The sequence below is a fragment of the Homo sapiens genome, chromosome 9, assembly GCF_000001405.40.
Source record: "Homo sapiens chromosome 9, GRCh38.p14 Primary Assembly".
Lineage (NCBI taxonomy): Eukaryota > Metazoa > Chordata > Mammalia > Primates > Hominidae > Homo > Homo sapiens.
The window spans coordinates 42894898-42913379 of record NC_000009.12 but is presented as its reverse complement, the minus strand read 5'-3'; the positions used below and the strand labels follow the sequence as shown (position 1 = coordinate 42913379).

Below are 18482 nucleotides of genomic sequence, written 5' to 3'. Positions count from 1 at the left end.
GGGTAACAATGTGAGAAAAGAATATGTTGATTTGCTTGATTATAAGAACCACTTCACTAGAAATAATTGTATCAAAACATCATGTTGTACTCCTTAATGTAGGTTAAGAAAACTAAAATGAACAACAACAACAAAATCTAGGAATACTTGTGTTTAGCAAACAAATTTTAGGTTTCGCCCTTGTGCATTTCACCCATTATCTAGGAACAATTAAGCATTTGGCACTGAGGAATAATTCAGAACAACAACTCCTGGGGGAGAACTAGATTGGCTGGTTGGTGATCAAAAAGAACTAAAGCATGTCTGAAGGCAATTAGCCCCCAGCACTGTGACCAAGGCACTGGAGGTGGGGCTTTTTCCTTCTGCCTTCCACACACCCCTTCAGGCTGAACAAGGTTTTGTTTTTTTTTTATACTTTAAGTTTTAGGGTACATGTGCACAACGTGCAGGTTAGTTACATATGTATACCTGTGCCATGTTGGTGTGCTGCACCCAGTAACTCATCATTTAACATTAGGTATATCTCCAAATGTTATCCCTCCCCCATCCCCCCACCCCACGACAGGCCCCGGTATGTGATGTTCCCCACTTCCTTTGTCCATGTGTTCTCATTGTTCAATTCCCACCTATGAGTCCTATGAGTGAGAACATACAGTGTTTGGTTTTTTGTCCTTGCGATAGTTTGCTGAGAATGATGGTTTCCAGCTCCATCCATGTCCCTACAAAGGACATGAACTCATTATTTGTTATGGCTGCACAGTATTCCATGGTGTATGTGTGCCACATTTCCTTAATCCAGTCTATCATTGTTGGATATTTGTGTTGGTTCCAAGTCTTTGCTATTGTGAATAGTGCTGCAATAAACATACGTGTGCATGTGTCTTTATAGCAGCATGGTTTATAATCCTTTGGGTATATACCCAGTAATGGGATTGCTGGGTCAAATGGTATTTCTAGTTATGTTTTAACCACTTTGTGAATTACACTTCTTTAAATTCCTTGATAAGTATTCCCTATTTCACAAGGATGCCTTTCTGTAACATCTTGAAAATGTTACACAAATAGTCTTTCTTGAGGCACCCTCTAGTGATAATACTAAAGATCACAATAAAAAATGATTGTGCCCAGAGTAGCAGTACCACTTGAAACTTTGGGTTTAGGTTGTGATCTACCAAAAAATAAATTAAACTCATTAATATTTCTATTTAGGAAAATTCTGACAAGCAATTTTATAACAAGATCACATTATTAATTATAATGCTTCGAAAATACTTAGTGACAAAAACTAACAGATCAGGTTAACTACATGAGACTTTTCAGGGGAAAAAAGCCATACAAAAGCAAAAAAAAAAAAAAAGAGAGAGAGAGAAAGAAATGGGACAGAAACTATCCTTGACTAACATTTTAAAGGTAAGATTATTTACTAACATTATTTTCTGAAATTACATTATTAGATTAGCATTCACTTCCTACTAATCTCCTGAAGCCATCTCACTAAAAATTATGCTTTCAAAACAAATTAATGAGCTTAATTCATTTTCTATGAGTGTATGTTTTGACTTACTTTGTTAATTTTTTTGACATGGAATTGTTAGCTTTCAATGCTGCTGCAAAGGCTTCCTTATATTCTTCTAATTCGGTTGTAATCTCTTCATAAGCAGTTTTCATTTCTGAGAATTTACATTCCACATCTTTAAGTGTGAGTTCTTTCTTATTTAGTGAAGCCATATTATCCTTGTTTAACTGCTCTAATTGTTTTTCATATTGTGCTTGTTCCTAAAACAAAGGAAAAGAATACACTTTTAAAACAATTATAACCTAATTATTATATGTTTGTTGCCTTTCATTTTGAGTCAGTGATTCAAAGAGCGATTGTGAATATGTTAGTAAAAGAGGCTGAAGCTTAAAATATTTATCAGCAAGATCAAAACTAATAACTGAATTCAGAATTGTCTGATTTATAAAAATTTGAAATCATAATTATGTATTAATGTAATCTGCTCATATAAAAAGTAATAGAATCCATTCATAATTTTAAAAAGTGATTAATGAACAATGTAGCTTAAGACCAATTCAAAAGTATCACATAATTTTGAAATCACAATTTTCTTATGCCAACTGATCTTAATCATCAAATGACTCCACAGTGAGAATCATTACTCTGAAAGATTGATTTTGTTATAATAATAATGGAAATGTAAATATTTAAAAGAAAAAACAGATGCCATTTTTCTTCTAGAACTCTACAAAGCAAATTGCTACAAGAGAGGCAGAGGAAACATAATATATTCATAACCAAAATATAATTTGCGGTGAAATAAATGAAAGCACATTACAGATAAACTTACCTGATTTAAAAAACTAACCTGTAAATGGATTTCTTCTATTTTTTCTACTGCCTGCATTGCCTTTTCATCTAGCTCCAATTTATATTCTTGTAGTTTACTAAGTTCTACCCTATTGTTTTCCATATGTGTCTTAAGATTTAATATTTCTTCTTTCAACATCTTTTTATCCTCCTCAAGTTTCTCACATTGCTGTTGTACTTTTTTCATAGATAAAAACTCCTGTTGAAGAACTTGATTGTCTTTAGCCAAATTGACACATTTTGAAGATAAAGCTTCCTTCTCTGCCGTAAGATCATCAAACTGCATGAATAAAATAATATAGCTTGATGATGAAATAGGCTGAGAATAATCTAATACAAAACCAATAGCAAATTTTGAAATGCATTTACTTGCAATAAAATGTGATCTGTAATGCAGTGGATTCTTCAAATGTGAACCCTTAAATTACTCAGAATTTTAAGAAAAAAGTTAAAGCTACCATGAGTCACAAAAATATATTATTTGCTATCATCATCTTTGCCACAGAACTTTTGCACTTCATCTTACTTTTATTTTTCTGATAATTCATTTTTGTTCCTCCTTAGATGGCACTAAGTTATCTCTTAGTAAAAAGTGTCTAACCACCTTCCCTCATTATCATTCCCCATAATATGTCAAAAAAAAGTTTCAGAGATATCATATTGAGTTATTTAGGCCAAAGTCAATAAATGGCTCTCAGAATAAGACTTTGAAAATAATATAACACTCTATACTAGGCATGGTGGCTCATTCCTGTAATTGTAGCAATTTAAAAGCCTGTGCCAGAATGATCACTTGAGGCCAGGAATTTGAGATCAGCCAGAGCAACATAGTGAGACCCCCATGTCTACAAAAAATTTTTTTTAAATTAGCTGGGCATGGTGGCTCATGCCTGGAGACCCAGCTAGTTGGGAGACTGAGGCAAAAAGATGGCTTGTACCCAGAGTTCAGGGCTGCAGTGAATTATGACCACATCACCGCACTTCTGCCTGGATGACAGACAAAGACCATATCTCAAAAAAACACAAAATAATGAATCCTGTAAATAAGGATTCTGATGCCATAAGCCTTTCCTTAAACCGCAAATGTTTCATGCTAATTTGAATTGCATTTTAAGAAGTAATGATTCTTGGGGTAAAGGTCATAGAATACACACCCAGAAATAAATCCACATATTTACAGCCAACTGATTTTGGACAAAGGTGCCAAGAACATACACTGGGGAAAGGACAGTCTCTTCAAATGAATGGCACTGGGAAAACTAAATATCCATATGGAGAAGAATGATACTAGCTTCCTATGTAACAGCACATAATGAAATAAACTCAGAATTGATTGAAGACTGACATTTAAGGCCTAAAATTATGAAACCACTCTAAGTAAATGTAGGAAAAATGCTTGAGGACATTAGCCTGCACAAAGATTTTTATGGGTAGGACATCAGAAGCATAGGCAAAAACCAAATGATAGACAAATGGTATTACATTAAGATAAAGAGCTTCTGCCCAGCAAACTGAGTGAAGAGAAAACCAGTGGAATGGGAGAAAATATTGTCAACTATTCATCTAATAAGGGACTAGTATCCAAAATATACAAGAAACTCAAAAAACTTGACAGTAAAAAAAAATCTGAGTTCAAAATTGGGCAAAATATCTAACTATACTTTTCTTTAGAAAAAAGAAATACAAATAGCCAATAAATAAATTTAAAAATGCTCAGTATCACTAATCCTCAGGGAAATAAAAATCAAATCTTCAATGTGATACAATCTTGCTTCAATTTGAATAAAATGCTATCATTGAAAAGACAAAAAAATAACATATGCTGGTGAGGTTCCAGAGAACAGTAAACTCTAACATGCTGTTGGTGGGAAGGTAAATTAGTGCAGCCACTATAGAAAACAACATGAGGTTTTCTCAAAAAGCTAATAATGAGACTGCCAAGGGATCCGGCAAACCCACTATTGGGTATTCAGGCAATAGAAAAGAAAACAATAGATCAAAAAGATACCTGTACTCATATGTTTATTGTAGCACTATTCACAATAGCTGATGTATGGAATCAACCTGCATGTCCATAACCAAATGAATGGACAAAAAACTGTGGCACACAAACACAGTAGAATACTATTCACCATATAAAGGAATTCAATCCTGTTATTCGTGGCCATGTGGATCAGTCTGAGGGATGGTATGTTAAGTGCAGACACAGAAAGATAAACACTGCACGTTCTCACTCATATGTGGGAGCTAAAGAAAAACTGAGGGCTGGGCAACCTGGCTATTGCCTGTAATTTCCTAGCACTTTGAAAGACCAAGGCAGGAGAATCACTTGAGGCCAAAGTTCCAGAGCACCCTGGACAACATAGGTAGATAGCTCTACAAAGTCAAAAATCAGACAGGTGCAATGGTGCATGCCCATAATCCTAGCTGCTCAGGAGGCTGAGGTGGAAGGATCACATGAGCCCAAGAGTTTGAGGCTGCAGTGAGGTATGAACAAGCCACTGTCTCTAGTCTGGGTGACGACAGTTGCCCAGAGCCCAGACTAGACTAGCAAGGCCCTGTCTCTTAACAACAACAAAAAAGCTCACAGAGGTAGGGGAGGGGAGGATGGTTAATGGATACTGAATTACAGTTAGATAAGAGGAAGGAGTTCTGGTGTTCTGTGGCATTGTAGGGTGAATATGGTTAACTATGATTTATTGTATATTTTTAAAAAGGCAGAAGATTTTGAATGTTCACAATTCAAAAAATGAAAAATGGTTGAAGTAGTAAATGTGCTAGTTAGCTTGATCATTACACACTATATACATGTATCAAAATATCACTCTATTGGCCAAAATTATGTATATACATGTCAATTAAAACAAAAGAGAAGCTATATTTATCCCATTAAAAAAACAGAATATGGGCAATCCTTACTGACTTCCTTCTAATGAATAGAATGCAGTAAAAGGGATATCATGTGGCTTCCCTATCTCAGACTGCTTTCCCTTTGAACTCAGCCCCCAGATTGTGAGTGAGATCAGGCCAGAGAGACAGCCTGGGAGTGTCAGTGTCAATATTCATGCTGCCTGCTCCAACCAAGGTTCCAGCCAATGGCCAGCATCAACCATCAAACACATGGGTGAGCAAAGCTTCAGAGGATTCCATTTCCCCAACTGATCAGCTATTCCTAGGGAAGCTGAGGGGAGCAGAGATGACCTGTCCTGGCTAAGCTTTTTTCAAACCACAGGTTCATGAACAAAATAAATGTTTTTCTTTTAAAGCCACAAAACACTGGATAATTGTTAGAAAAATAAGTTTTAAAAAGAGACAACAGGAAACATAACTTATGCAGAGAAAAGAGTCTCCTTTAAAGTAGGATCTAATAAATGTTGAGATTAATTTATTGATGGCAAACATTATTGAGAAGCAGTAGATAACCAGGAGAGAGACATAAGCTGCTGAGGAGGAACATTTCCTAAAACCCCCTTCAATTATGAACTCTCATAACAAGGCAAGGGTGTCTCCTTACAATTTCCCCTCAAGTTAGGAAATAAGACTGCAAAGAAAGAAGATGTATGATTTGAAAAACAACTAGAAATACTTGGTTAGATAACCAAAATCAGACATTTGCCTGATTTCAGTTAATGAAAATTCTAAAAGAATAAGTTTTGAGTATTTATTAATCAATCTAGTATTCAATTTTCATTTTCCTTTTCTCAATGAGGAAATGAGAACATTATGGAATGATTTTTAGTCTTCACAGAAGTAAAATAAGCACAGTATGCTTTGAGTGTTAAGACATCAAATGCAATTTCTCCTTTATCTTACTTCAAGCTTGTTTGTATGGAGAAGTTAAGACCATCCCATCTCTGTATTATACCACAATGCTTCTCTACAGCACACAACTTGGCTCTGAAATTTCAAAAGTCAAAATACTAATCTACTATTTGTCTCCAATAAATTGCCTGAACATTACCTGATTTTGAAGTGCTGCACTCCTAAGACTTTTTCTTGGAATGAGTTAAACTTTATATCCCAAGAATCCTCTACTGAGCTAGAAAGCAGAGCTGTGCATCTCTGTTTCAGTAAAAGGAGGTCAATACAGGGAACTGTGGTTTCTGAGAATGCAAGATCTGCACCAAGTAAAGGATTAGATGCAGTGCTACCCAAGAGAACCAGCTACCAGGTGGAAAGAGGATCTGCGAACTACAACATGATGACTTCACATGATTTCCACTGAGGAAAGCTGGCAGCTCAGACTTCTCCTTCCTGGATGGTAAACATCTCTGGAAGATTCTATGAATTATAATGAGTTAGCAAAACATAATACACTAAATATTAGACTACATCAGCAGATCCTGTGATGAAAACTTACTGAAAATATAACTATAGAGGGAGGCAATGGAAAAGAGACTAAAGGTTTGAATAGAGAAAAAAAGAGTGTCTTGTAAGCCTGACTTGCCATGTCTTAGAGAAAGTAAGGTATAAGCTGGCCAGAGATTCCTTTGAGGCACAAAAGGTGAAGTTAAAGATATTCCACTAAATTTAATTTTTATTATGATATAAGACAACTGGTAATATGCAACATGCTTGAAAAAAACTTCTCATTAAATTCAATTTGGCCTTGGCATAAGAATAGATATAAACAAACTAAGAATTGATAATCTACAAATAAACCTGCACCTTGACAGTCAATTGATTTTATACAAGGTTAACAAAAGAACAGAATGGGAAAAGAATAGTCTTTTCAACAAATGGTGCTGCGACAACTGGATATCCACATGCAAAAAATAAATAAAGTAAGAAGAAAACCCTGGCATAAATCTTTGTGACTGCATTTGGCAGTGTTTTCTTAGCTATGACTCCAAAGGAAAAATGGATTCAATGAACTTCAAAATTGAAAACTGCTGTGCTTGAGAAGACAGTATCAAGAAGTGAAAAGGTAAGATACTGAGTAGAAGAAAGTATTTGAAAAGCATGTATCTGATAAGGGACTTACATACGTAGGATATATAAAGAACCTTTGCAATTCATAAATAACAAGATAACCCAATTTAAAAAATGGGCAAAGAATTTGAGTAGATATTTCTGCAAAGAAGATATAAAGATGGATAATAAGCACATTAATAGATGCTTAATGTAATTAGTCATTAGGAAAAAGTAAATCAAAACCACATGTGGTATCACTTCACACCACAGGATGAAACCTTTATTCAATAAAAAAGAGAAAATAAGTGTTAGGAAAAATGTAAAGAAATTAAAGCCCTTATCCAATGCTGCTGGGGATGTAAAGTGGTGCAGCCACTTTGGAAAACAAACTGGCAGCTCCTCAAAAGGTTAAGCATGAAGTTACCATACGACCCAGAAATTCCAGTCATGAGTATATACTCCAGAAAATCAAAAACACATGCAAGCACAAAAACTCATACATAAATGTTTACAGCAGCATTATTAATAAGAGTGAAAAAGTGGAAAGAACCAAAACGTCCATCACCTTTGGGTGGGAAAGAACCCAAAGGTCCATCACCTGGTGAATGGATAAATAAACTGTTTGATGTATCCATACAATGGAATATCACTCTGCAATAAGAAGAAACTAAGTACTGATACTGTATTAGGAGGAGACAGCAAAATGCCTAGGCAGATAAGGAAGGGTCCCTGGAGAATCCCCAACAAGCCTCACAAGTGTTTACACCAGACGTTATGTGCAGATAGGGGAACCTGGACTTGTCTTGCCTGGACGTGCCGGCAGCAGACCCGAGGCCCACAAGCACTGGGGGGATGGGGTGGAGTCACCAGGAATTCACGCCTTATGCAGAGCAGGAGCCTGGCCACTTCAGCTCCTGTGCTCCTGGTATTCAATTGTGAGGTGGAAACCTGTTTGCAGGACGCCCCTCTTTGCTGAGAGCTTTCCTTTCACTTAATAAATTCTGTCCTCCTCACCCTTCAATGTGTCTGTGTGCTTAATTTTTCCTGGTCATGAGAGAAGAACCCAGATTGAGCTGAACTAAGGAGCAAAAACCCTGCATCAATACCTGCTGCAGCACAGATGCAGCATGGAAAATTATGCTAAGTGAAATAAGCCAGTCACAGTAGACCACTGGCTTTTCATTTTAGAGGCTTATAGGCAAATCTATACAAAGAAGGTGGGTGGTTACCTAGGGCTGAGGGAGGAAGGGAAAACTAGTGAAGATAGCTAAATGATGTGGGGTTTGTTTTTAGGGTGATGAAAATGTTCTACAATTGATTGTAATGATGACTGCATAACTCTCTGAAAATACTAAAGTTAATAAATTATATATTTTAAATGAGTGAATTGCATGGTGTGTTCATTATTTCTCAATAAACCTGTTACCCCCCACCCCAAATTAATTTGGTACTAGTGATTTTGGTACTAGTGATCTGGAGACAGGTACTGCTTGGTTTCAGATCACTGGCCAGGGTTCAAGGCCTAAGAGAATCAACAGCATGTCCTTTTCATAGAAAAAGAGATTGATATTTTAAAAGCTATCCTTTTCATTAGTTTCAAGTCTGTAAAATTAAATGAAAAATCTTTCACTGCTTAGAGCACTGACAGATTTATATTGAGGAATAAGACCTTGTTTTCCTTGGCCTCAATTTCTATCTAAAGGGTCTGGGAATCACACCCTTCAAACTATCAAATCTCATCAGATGGGTTATATTAACTCTTATAATGTGGCTTCCTTTCCAACCTGATTCTGGTGCAGCATCACAGAGAGAAGAAGCTGAAGGAAATCAAAATATTTTACCCCCAAATATATTTTTTTGTCATATTTTGAAATGGCTGCTGCAGGGCCAAGAGATTGAAATGGCGCTCATTAACGTAGCCCAATCTCTCCCCTTCTAGGTCTTCCCAGATCTGGGGAAGATTAACTAAGAGCCTGAGGCATTTAAAGTCTGAAAAGATATATTTACCCTCTATTTTCTCAACATATTTTGGCAGAATTTGGGTTTTTCCATTATCAATATTTTCCAAAATTACATGATTTTTAATACCAAAACTGATTTAAAATTACCATATGTTGGAATATAAATTATTCTATTATAAAGATACATGCATTTGTATGTTCATTGCAGCACTATTCACAACAGTAAAGCCATGGAATCAACCCAGGTGTCCATCAGTGATAGATGGGATAAAGAAAATGTGGTACATATACACCATGGAATACTATGGAGCCATAAAAATGAATGAGATCATGCTTTTTGCAGGGATATGGATGAGCTCAAAGCTGATATCTTCAGCAAACTAATGCAGGAAGAAAAAAACAAACACTGCATCTTCTCATTTATAAGTGGGAGCTGAATGATGAGAACACATGGACTCGGGGAGGGGAACAACAAACACTGGGGCCTGTTAAGGTCAGGAGGGAGAGCATCAAGATCAATAGCTAATGCCTGCAGGGCTTAATATCTAGGTGATGGATTGATAGGTGCAGCAAACCAACATGACACACGTTTACCTATATAACAAACCTGCACGTCTCACACATGTAATCTAGACCTTAAGATAAAATAATTTTTTAAAATTACCTTCTGTTTTAGCTTCTTAATCAGAATATCCATTTTCAGTTGATCTGCTTTTAAGTCTCCATGGCAATCAAAATCTTCATTTCCAAATACATTTAACATATTTATTGTCATTTCCAGGAGTTTCTTATATCTGCAGAAATGTACAGAATTAGTAAGTCAAGTATTTTTAAGAGTAAATATTTAATAATTGTTTAAACATCTGTTATGGCATATTGAAGAAACAAATCTATAAACTATGTTCCTTTCAGTTTCAACTGAACATAGTTTGAAAGCATTCTATATGAAATTATAATCTTAGATAAATAATATGAAGAACAATTTTATGGCATATATGGCAGGTAAAGTGATATTATAGCCATACAGTGTTTTTGTTTTGTTTTTTGTTTTGTTTTGAGATGGAATTTCACTCTTGTTGCCCAGGACAAAGTGCAATGGTGTGATCTCAGCTCACTGCAACCTCTGCCTCCTGGACTCAAGTGATTCACCTGTCTCAGCCTCCCAAGTGGCTGGGATTACAGGTGTGTACCACAAAGCCTGGCTCATTTTGTATTTTTAGTAGAGACGGGGTTTCACTGGTCAGACTGGTCTTGAACTCTTGACCTCAAATGATCCACCCACATTGGCCTCCCAAAGTGCTGGGATTACGGGTGTGAGCCACCACACCTGGCCTAACCATACACTTTTTGTAAATAAACTACTCATATCCATGTTGGTATGCTAAGTAAAATCATCTATTACTAAATATAAGCCATAACCCAGAGATGAGTAACCAAGATAAAAAAAGTAAAACACATACGTTTAAAAAGACACAAAAGTACATTTTGATACCCACTGACCACAGTCTATCAGAAGAAAAAAAAAGTACACACAAAAAGCATCAAGGAGATCATTCAATGTCGAAAAAGAGAAGAAAACATCTTTAATATCTGAGTTGAGGAGAAAAAGGATACAGGCAGTTTTAGAAAAAAGGAAAGGGGCAGAGAGATGTGTGACGATTTAAAGACTTTGAAGAAGAGATCTAGACATCTTTGCTGACATAATGTCAACAAAATGAAAGAGATACAAAACCATGTAGAGAAAGGCAATGACAGAAAAATGTTGATTCTAATCAGAAAACCAAATTAAGTGCTCAGTAAATAAATAGAAAAGTAGCTGTGTTCAGGGCTTCAAAGACAGATTCCATTTTTTTAAAAAAAATCTGTGATCAAAACATGAATGTTCATTTTACTTTTTAAGTTATACATATATTTATATATATATGAAATTTATTTATGTAAAACAAGTTTAATAACATGTATACTTCATGTATACAACAGAGGTACTCATGTACAATGAGTAAATTTCCACATTTTATATCTAAAAGAAAAAGCAGAAACAAAATATAAGCTACATATCAAGATAAATTTGATGTTAAAGAATGACACAAACAGGTCTTTAAACCATTTGAATGCAGCAGAGGATACTACAAAAGGAAGAAAAAATGACCACAGACAGCAAAAAATATCTTCAGAAATAAAAATTCAAACTAGATAATGAAGAGTGCACTGGACATTATATGTCCAAGGTGTGGTCATTGTTTTCAAAATCATTAAAGAATAAGTGGCCGGGCATGGTGGCTCATGTCACTTTGGGAGGCCGAGGCGGGCAGATCACGAGGTCAGGAATTCGAGACCAGCCTGACCAACTTGGCAAAACCCCGTCTCTAATAAAAATACAAAAACTAGCCAGGTGTGGTGGCACATGCCTGTAATGCCAGCTACTCAGGAGGCTGAGGCAGGAAAATTGCTTGGAGGCATAGGTTGCAGTGAGCCAAGACCGCGCCATTGTACTCCAGCCTGGGAAACAAAGCCAGACTTTTTCTCAAAAAAAAAAAAAAAAAAAGAATATTTTGGCATTCAAAAAAAATTTCACCTTGCCCCAGCAGCTCAGCTGACTCCCGCCCCCATGACACACATGTCTAAAAAGTTGTGCTGTGAGTTTCTGAAATACATTTTAAAATAGAATTCATCTAATTATGAAAATGCAAACATAAAATGAATTTGTATCTAGGTTTTAGTCAAGTAAAATTAGAGTTAAATCAATTAATAAAGGGCTAACATGTTCTACAATATGAAAACCATACCCAGTTGCCTCTTCTTCTAATTCATCATTTTTCTTTCTTATTCGATTCACATTATACTTCAGTGATGGTATTAACTCAAAAAGTTTTCTTAATTCTTCATTTTCTTTTTTAGGCTTAAAAAAAGTGTTTAAAATTATTTTTGTAAAATCTGGAGACGCTCTTTTATCTCAAAAATATTATTTCTCATAAGTGGATGAGTAATATGTATTTAGGCAGGTGTATAAAGTGCATTTTATAAACCTGATGCCAATAAGGTCAGATTTCAATAATAGTCACTTTTCTTAAAACTGCTAAAAATGATTCAAATTTTCATCATTATCTTTTCCGAAATTTAAACTGCCAACAATGTTTGTTACAAATGAGGGTTTTTACACACAAAATACTAAGGGTTAGTTAAAAAAAAAAAAGAGTAGTTATATTTACATTTTAGTTTTTAAAGATGCTCTAGAAATATTGTTTTTAATAGTTTAAGATATTCCAAGTTTTCTTAAATTACATCTTACTAAGACAAATTTTAGAAAACTCTTATCTAGTTCCCATTACATTTTTCATCCTCATCTGTCTTCAGGCTGAGCTAAATACTGTCATTCTAAGTATTCACCCATAGGTTTCAGTTTTTCCCTTTCTCTTAACCATTTCTCTTTAAATAAAGTTTATTTTTTCTATAATAAACAAAAACAACTTTTGTCTACTTTTTGTGGCTTTTCTATTATCCTGTTTCTCCCCTTCCATTGGACTCTATGACACATGGTCTCATTCAGAAATCTTTTTTCATCAATTATTGTGTTTTTTATACTGAAATCTGATTTTTAATAATTCCAATAAAAAAGTCCAACGGTCATCAAGTACTTTATCCTGCTTTACTCAGCAGAGCAGTGACCAAATGCTCCCTCTGCTCCTCTGACCCCACTTCCTTTCTAAATGCAGTGACCTCTGTTCTTCAGCCCTATCCCTTTCTATTCCTCTGACCCCGCCTCCTTTCTAAATGCAGCGACCTCTGTTCTTCAGCCCTATCCTTTTCTGGTTGTTTTTTGTTTGTTTGTTTGTTTTGAGATGGAGTCTCCCACTGTCACCCAGGTTGGAGTGCAGTGGCATGATCTCGGCTCACTGCAACCTCCACCTCCTGGATTCAAGCGATTCTCCTGCCTCAGCCTCCCAAGTAGCTAGGAGTACAGGCATGTGCTACCACACCCAGCTAATTTTGTGTATTCTTAGTAGAGATGGGGTTTCACTATGTTGGTCAGACTGGTCTTGAACTCCTGACCTCATAATCTGCCTGCCTTGGCCTCCCAAAGTGCTGGGATTATGGGTGTGACCACCATGCCCGGCGGCTATTTCACTTTTTAAATTCTCTCAGGACTCCTAAAATCTCAAAACTTTGACCTAGATTCCCTAATCTACATTTCCAGCTCTGACCTTTTTCTTGAGGTCTCTTCCTTCTAGTACACATATTATAGACAATATTCTCCACCACATGCTCATACATTGCTACTTGGTGCAGATTACTTTTGTAGATAGTGAATCTTGTCTATTTTATGTTGGTTCTTATTGATGTTACCTTGAGTATACTGTTATTTTCTAATCTCAAAGGGGGACTATCTCACTGTTACGATACTAACCAGTATACTTTGTCCTTTTTTTCATTCTTTCTTCTTTTTTGGACCAATATACTTTGTCCCTTTTTTTTCTTTTTTTGAGATGGAGTCACACTGTGTCATCCAGGCTGGAGTGCAGTGGTGCCATCTCAGCTTACTGCAACTTCTACCTCCTGGGTTCAAGTGATTCTCCTGCCTCTGCCTCGCAAGTAGCTGGGACTACAGGTGCACACCACCACGCCTGGCTAATTTTTGTATTTTCAGTAGAGACAGGGTTTCACCATGTTGGCCAGGCTGTTTTTGAACTCCTGACCTCAGGTAATCCACCCCTCTCAGCCTCTCAAAGTGTTGGGATTACAGATGTGAGCCATGGAACCCAGCCCTCTTTTTCTTTGATAATGAAAACTTTCCCGTGAGAATCAGATTATCAATTGTTTGCCTTTGTTTTCTTTTAAAGAATTTCCTTTTCCATAGAGATATGGCATGATGAACATCTTGTTCTAAAGTTTCTTTTGGGGGACACTTAACTATGTCATTGGGAAGCTTCAGTAAGTAGAGATCTCCCTTCTTCCCATTCAAGATTCTTCATCTCAAAATGGTGTCCACCAAATGTCTTAATCCAGGTAGTCCCTTGCTTAGAAATTCATGAAATAAGAACCTTCTCGAGAAGTTAGAGGCTATTGATTGAGACGGTTTAAAGCTGCCCCTTATTATATGTTTTACTCCCAAGGTAGACATCAAAGTGGCTAATAATTCTATGTCTGATATCTAGCTCACTTCTATGGGAATCTATACAACATGTTTTATTTATGAGACAGAGTCTCCCTCTGCTACCTAGGCTGGAGTGCAGTGGCTTGATCACTGCTCACTGCAGCCTCAATATTCCAAGCTCAAACGACCCTCCTACCACAGCCTCCCAATGTAGCTGGGACTACAGGCATGCACCACCATGCCTCAGCTAAGTGTTTAAAAAATTTCTTTTTTTTTTTTAGAGACAGGGTCTCACTATATTGCTCTGGCTGGTCTCAAACTCCTGGGCTCAAGCAATCCTCCTGCCTCAGCCTTCCAAAACCAGGTGTTTAACTGGGGACTAACATGAAGCACTTAGAAGACTACATGGAACATAGTGAGCTACATAAAATATTTGCTATTAGCATAATAATTTTATTGTATATCTTAACAAAATTGTGTATTTTACGCAGGTGGCATGCCAATGGAAGTAGTCTCCTATAGCTGCACTGAATCATTCTTAACACTGAGAGTTGCAGCAAATGGGGGACATAATTTATAACTTACTTTTCTCTCTGTATGACTCATTAGGCAATGACTATCTCTGTACTACAATGTAAATAGCACCTCCTGGATGGAATAGTACGTAACTGACATGACCAGCAGAGACAGGCTAAAGACACTGAGCTGAAAACCCTGGACTCTACTGCTAAGTCAAGGCTCCTGAATCCGTTCCCTCTGAGCAACTGTTGCTGTGGTGCTGCCTTCACAAGCACTCTGCTGAGCACACAGATTGAGGGGCTGTGCTATCCTTCATCAGACAAGCTGCACCCAGAACTGTTCAGCTGACAGACTGGGAGCAGTCCAGAAACACAGTAATGGCTGCATAGTGAAAAAAGGCCAATTTATATTCTTTTTCATAGAGAGAAAAACATAAACACGTGATTGAATGCATCTCCTGTATTAGACTAATTGGGTTAGATTTGATATTTAATTGCTAAAAATATATTTAGAATATAACCTTACTATGTCAAGGTCTCAAAGCAGAAATAATTGGTATGGTATAAAGGATTGAATTGTATGCTACAAACTTCTAAGCTAAAATATTTTCAATGTATGCAAGGATAGGTGGCATACATATTATATATTATTCCCCCATTAAGCAAATTTATAATGAGAGAAAATTATCTTCCATAAAAAAATAAAAGCCATGTAAAATTAAGGACTAAGTTTTTCAGCACAGACTAGACAACGATTGCTAACACATAAGGTCAATGACAGAACAGTCAGAGAAAGCTTCATGAAAACAAAAAAATTGTCTGCCAGGTCTGAATGAATGAGGCTAGATGAACAGAAACTGAGAAGGCAGAAAGGATAGCATGAGCAAGACAAGTGCTGAAATCTGCCCAATTAACTCTGAGGATAAAGTCCAATGGCAGGGAAATAAAAACCCGTGTCCACATAATAACCTGTAAGTGAATGTTCACAGCAGCATTTTTCATAATAGCTAAAAAGTGGAAACTAACCTAAAGGTCCATCAACTGATGAATGAATGGAAAACCAGTATAGCCATGGAATAGAATATCATTTAACTATAAGAAGAAATAAACTACGAATGTGTGCTAAAACATGCATGAATTCTGAAAACATTATGCTAAGTGAAAAAGCCAGTCACAAAGGACTACATATTGTATAACTCTATGTATATGAAATATGCAGAACAGGCAAACATATGGAGACAAAAGTAGACGGTGGTTGCCTACTACAGGGGTAGGTGGAGGGACATGGAGGAAGGCTGCAGTCATGCCTAAGAGATGTGGGGTCACTTTTCAGGGTGATGAAAATGCTGTGAACATACTAATAGACACTGAGTTGTACATTTTAAATGGTTGAACTGTCTGATATGTGAATGACATCTCAGTGAATCTTTTTAAAATCCAAAGGCAGGATCAAGATAATTTTCTCAACTCTTAATTTTTGATGTACATGCTATATCAAATCTAAATATTTCTACAGTTTTACAGTATATTTTAAATAAAAGATAGATAAAGAAAATGCCTAACTTTTCAAATAGTTTGTAAATTAACCTAAAACATGCACATTTCAAAGAATAGTATAATGGCCTTTCTGTACAAGTTAACCTAGAATCTGTGAAACAAATAGACACAGATTCTGTGTCCATTCACAAAAGTGAAGAAATAAGACAATTTTCTGGAACATTCCATGAAACATTCTCCTCTGATTTAATCTGGCCTGCCTCATCAGAGCAATACAAAAATTACTTAAAAATACTGTTTAACAGGAAAAAAGTCAATTTTCTATGAGGAATGATGTATAATTCTCAACTTTTCCAAGGGTACATATTGTAAGAGAAAAGGTATGCAATGGTTTTTCAAAATGGTAGAATGAAAGTCACAATATAAAAAAATAAGTACATTATAAAGATAGTAAAATGGAAATCATTCATTATAATGAAAATAAAAAATCAAGCTTCTGCCAAAATTAGTATCCTAAAACACGTTATATAATTCAACTAGCTACAGAATAACTGTTGAGATGTTAAATTCCATACATACTTGACTTTCCACTTGAAATAATTTCTTCTTTGAGGCCTATGTCTCATCCAAATTAATGTGACAACGTGATATACCTTCCAGTGGAGACTCTAACGTCGTTAATTTTTTTACACTGTCAGCCACTTCTTGTTGAAGTTGTCTCACAACCACCTGATAAAATATTTGTTACTGATTTTATAAATTGCCTTATTATTAAATTATGTTAATAATGTTTAATTCTAACATATCTACTTTGAAAATTATCACCACACATATCAATTCATCTTCTTTTAATCACATGTACACATTTTTATTTATTACTGAATTCAGTGAGGGATGCAGAATATGTTCTCTTCCTGCCAAATTGGTATTCTCTTACTTACACAACAGATTCATTCCAACATTCAATCATCTCTGAAGCTCAACTCAGCCTCAAAGTTCCTAACATATTCAATCACCTGTTCAAATCCTTCCAACAGATTCCTATCTCAGAATAAAAGTAAAATTCCAATGGCCTTTGAGGCCCCAGGTAAAAAGGCCTCTACCTCCCTCTCTGACTTCAAAGCTCCTACAACTCCCTCCTGTAATTACTCCATTCCCACTGTATGTGAAGCCTGCCACCCCTCAGTCTGAAAATGGAGATTTAATGCCTAACTCGTAAATCACAGACAGCTACAAGTATCTTTGTACTGAACAAAATTATATTCCAATGATAGTCATTGAGCCTTGAAATAAAAATTATGAGCTAATTATTAATATAAATATTCAAAGTAAACTATAAATACCAGTGGGAAGACTAAACCAAATATAGTTTTGCTAAGTTTTACCACATTTATCCTAAATTACGATTTTATAACAAGTAGGTGCCTTTAAAACATTACGTGGTCATAAAAATACGTAATTTGACATATTTTCAGATTTGTTAAATTAATATGAATAATAACAAAGCTATACCAACTAAAATACATAAAAAGCTAGTTAAAGCAAGGTATTACAAGACACAGCAATACACTTCAATTCATCTGGGGAATCTAGAATTAAGTGTCGAAGAAAATCACTTAATTAAATTTTAATTTGAAAATACTTCAGGTGTAAACATTTCCATTTATAACTACATTATGGTCTTAACATGTGGCAACGTAAAGACATTAAAATTACTATTTCAGCAGTACAGAACTATCTACCTTAAAATATGACTCTGTGCCTAATAAAATTTCATAGGTGACACAATGTCTTTTCTCAAAGTAAATCATCTCTCACCTCTATCTTTTATTTCCTAGAAATGAGGCATGTTTCTAAGCCGATATAGTAAACACATTTTTCCTTTTTTTATTAAAACAGCTTTGTTGAAATATAATTTACATACTATAGAATGTATCTGTTTTAACTTAAAGTTAAAAGATTTTTAGTACATTTACTGAGTTGTGCAGCCATCTCTACAATCCAACTTTAGAGCATTTCCATCACTGTAAGATTCCTCATGCCCATTAGCAGTCACTACCAGCTTCCAACCCCAGCCCCTTGCAAACATTAATCTACTTTTTGTCCCTATACATTTATCTTTTCTGGATGCT

The 18482-nt window shown here is 35.7% G+C and overlaps 1 protein-coding gene and 1 pseudogene across 7 annotated transcripts in view; both read right to left on the bottom strand.

Annotated features, from left to right (window-relative positions):
• Positions 1 to 18482, bottom strand: part of LOC112268044 (ankyrin repeat domain-containing protein 18B-like) — a 60842-nt gene that overhangs the window by 42129 nt on the left and 231 nt on the right. For all 7 annotated transcript variants that reach the window (XM_047424292.1, XM_047424291.1, XM_047424293.1 and 4 more), the window contains exons 2-5: positions 16930 to 17079; positions 9908 to 10037; positions 2367 to 2648; positions 1565 to 1776 (exon numbers count right to left, since the gene is read on the bottom strand). In XM_047424292.1, the coding sequence (XP_047280248.1) occupies positions 1565 to 1776; positions 2367 to 2648; positions 9908 to 10037; positions 16930 to 16976 (671 nt within the window). In that variant the 5' untranslated portion in view covers positions 16977 to 17079. The remainder of the gene's footprint in view (positions 1 to 1564; positions 1777 to 2366; positions 2649 to 9907; positions 10038 to 16929; positions 17080 to 18482) is intronic.
• Positions 17641 to 18482, bottom strand: part of ANKRD20A7P (ankyrin repeat domain 20 family member A7, pseudogene) — a 43177-nt pseudogene continuing 42335 nt past the window's right edge.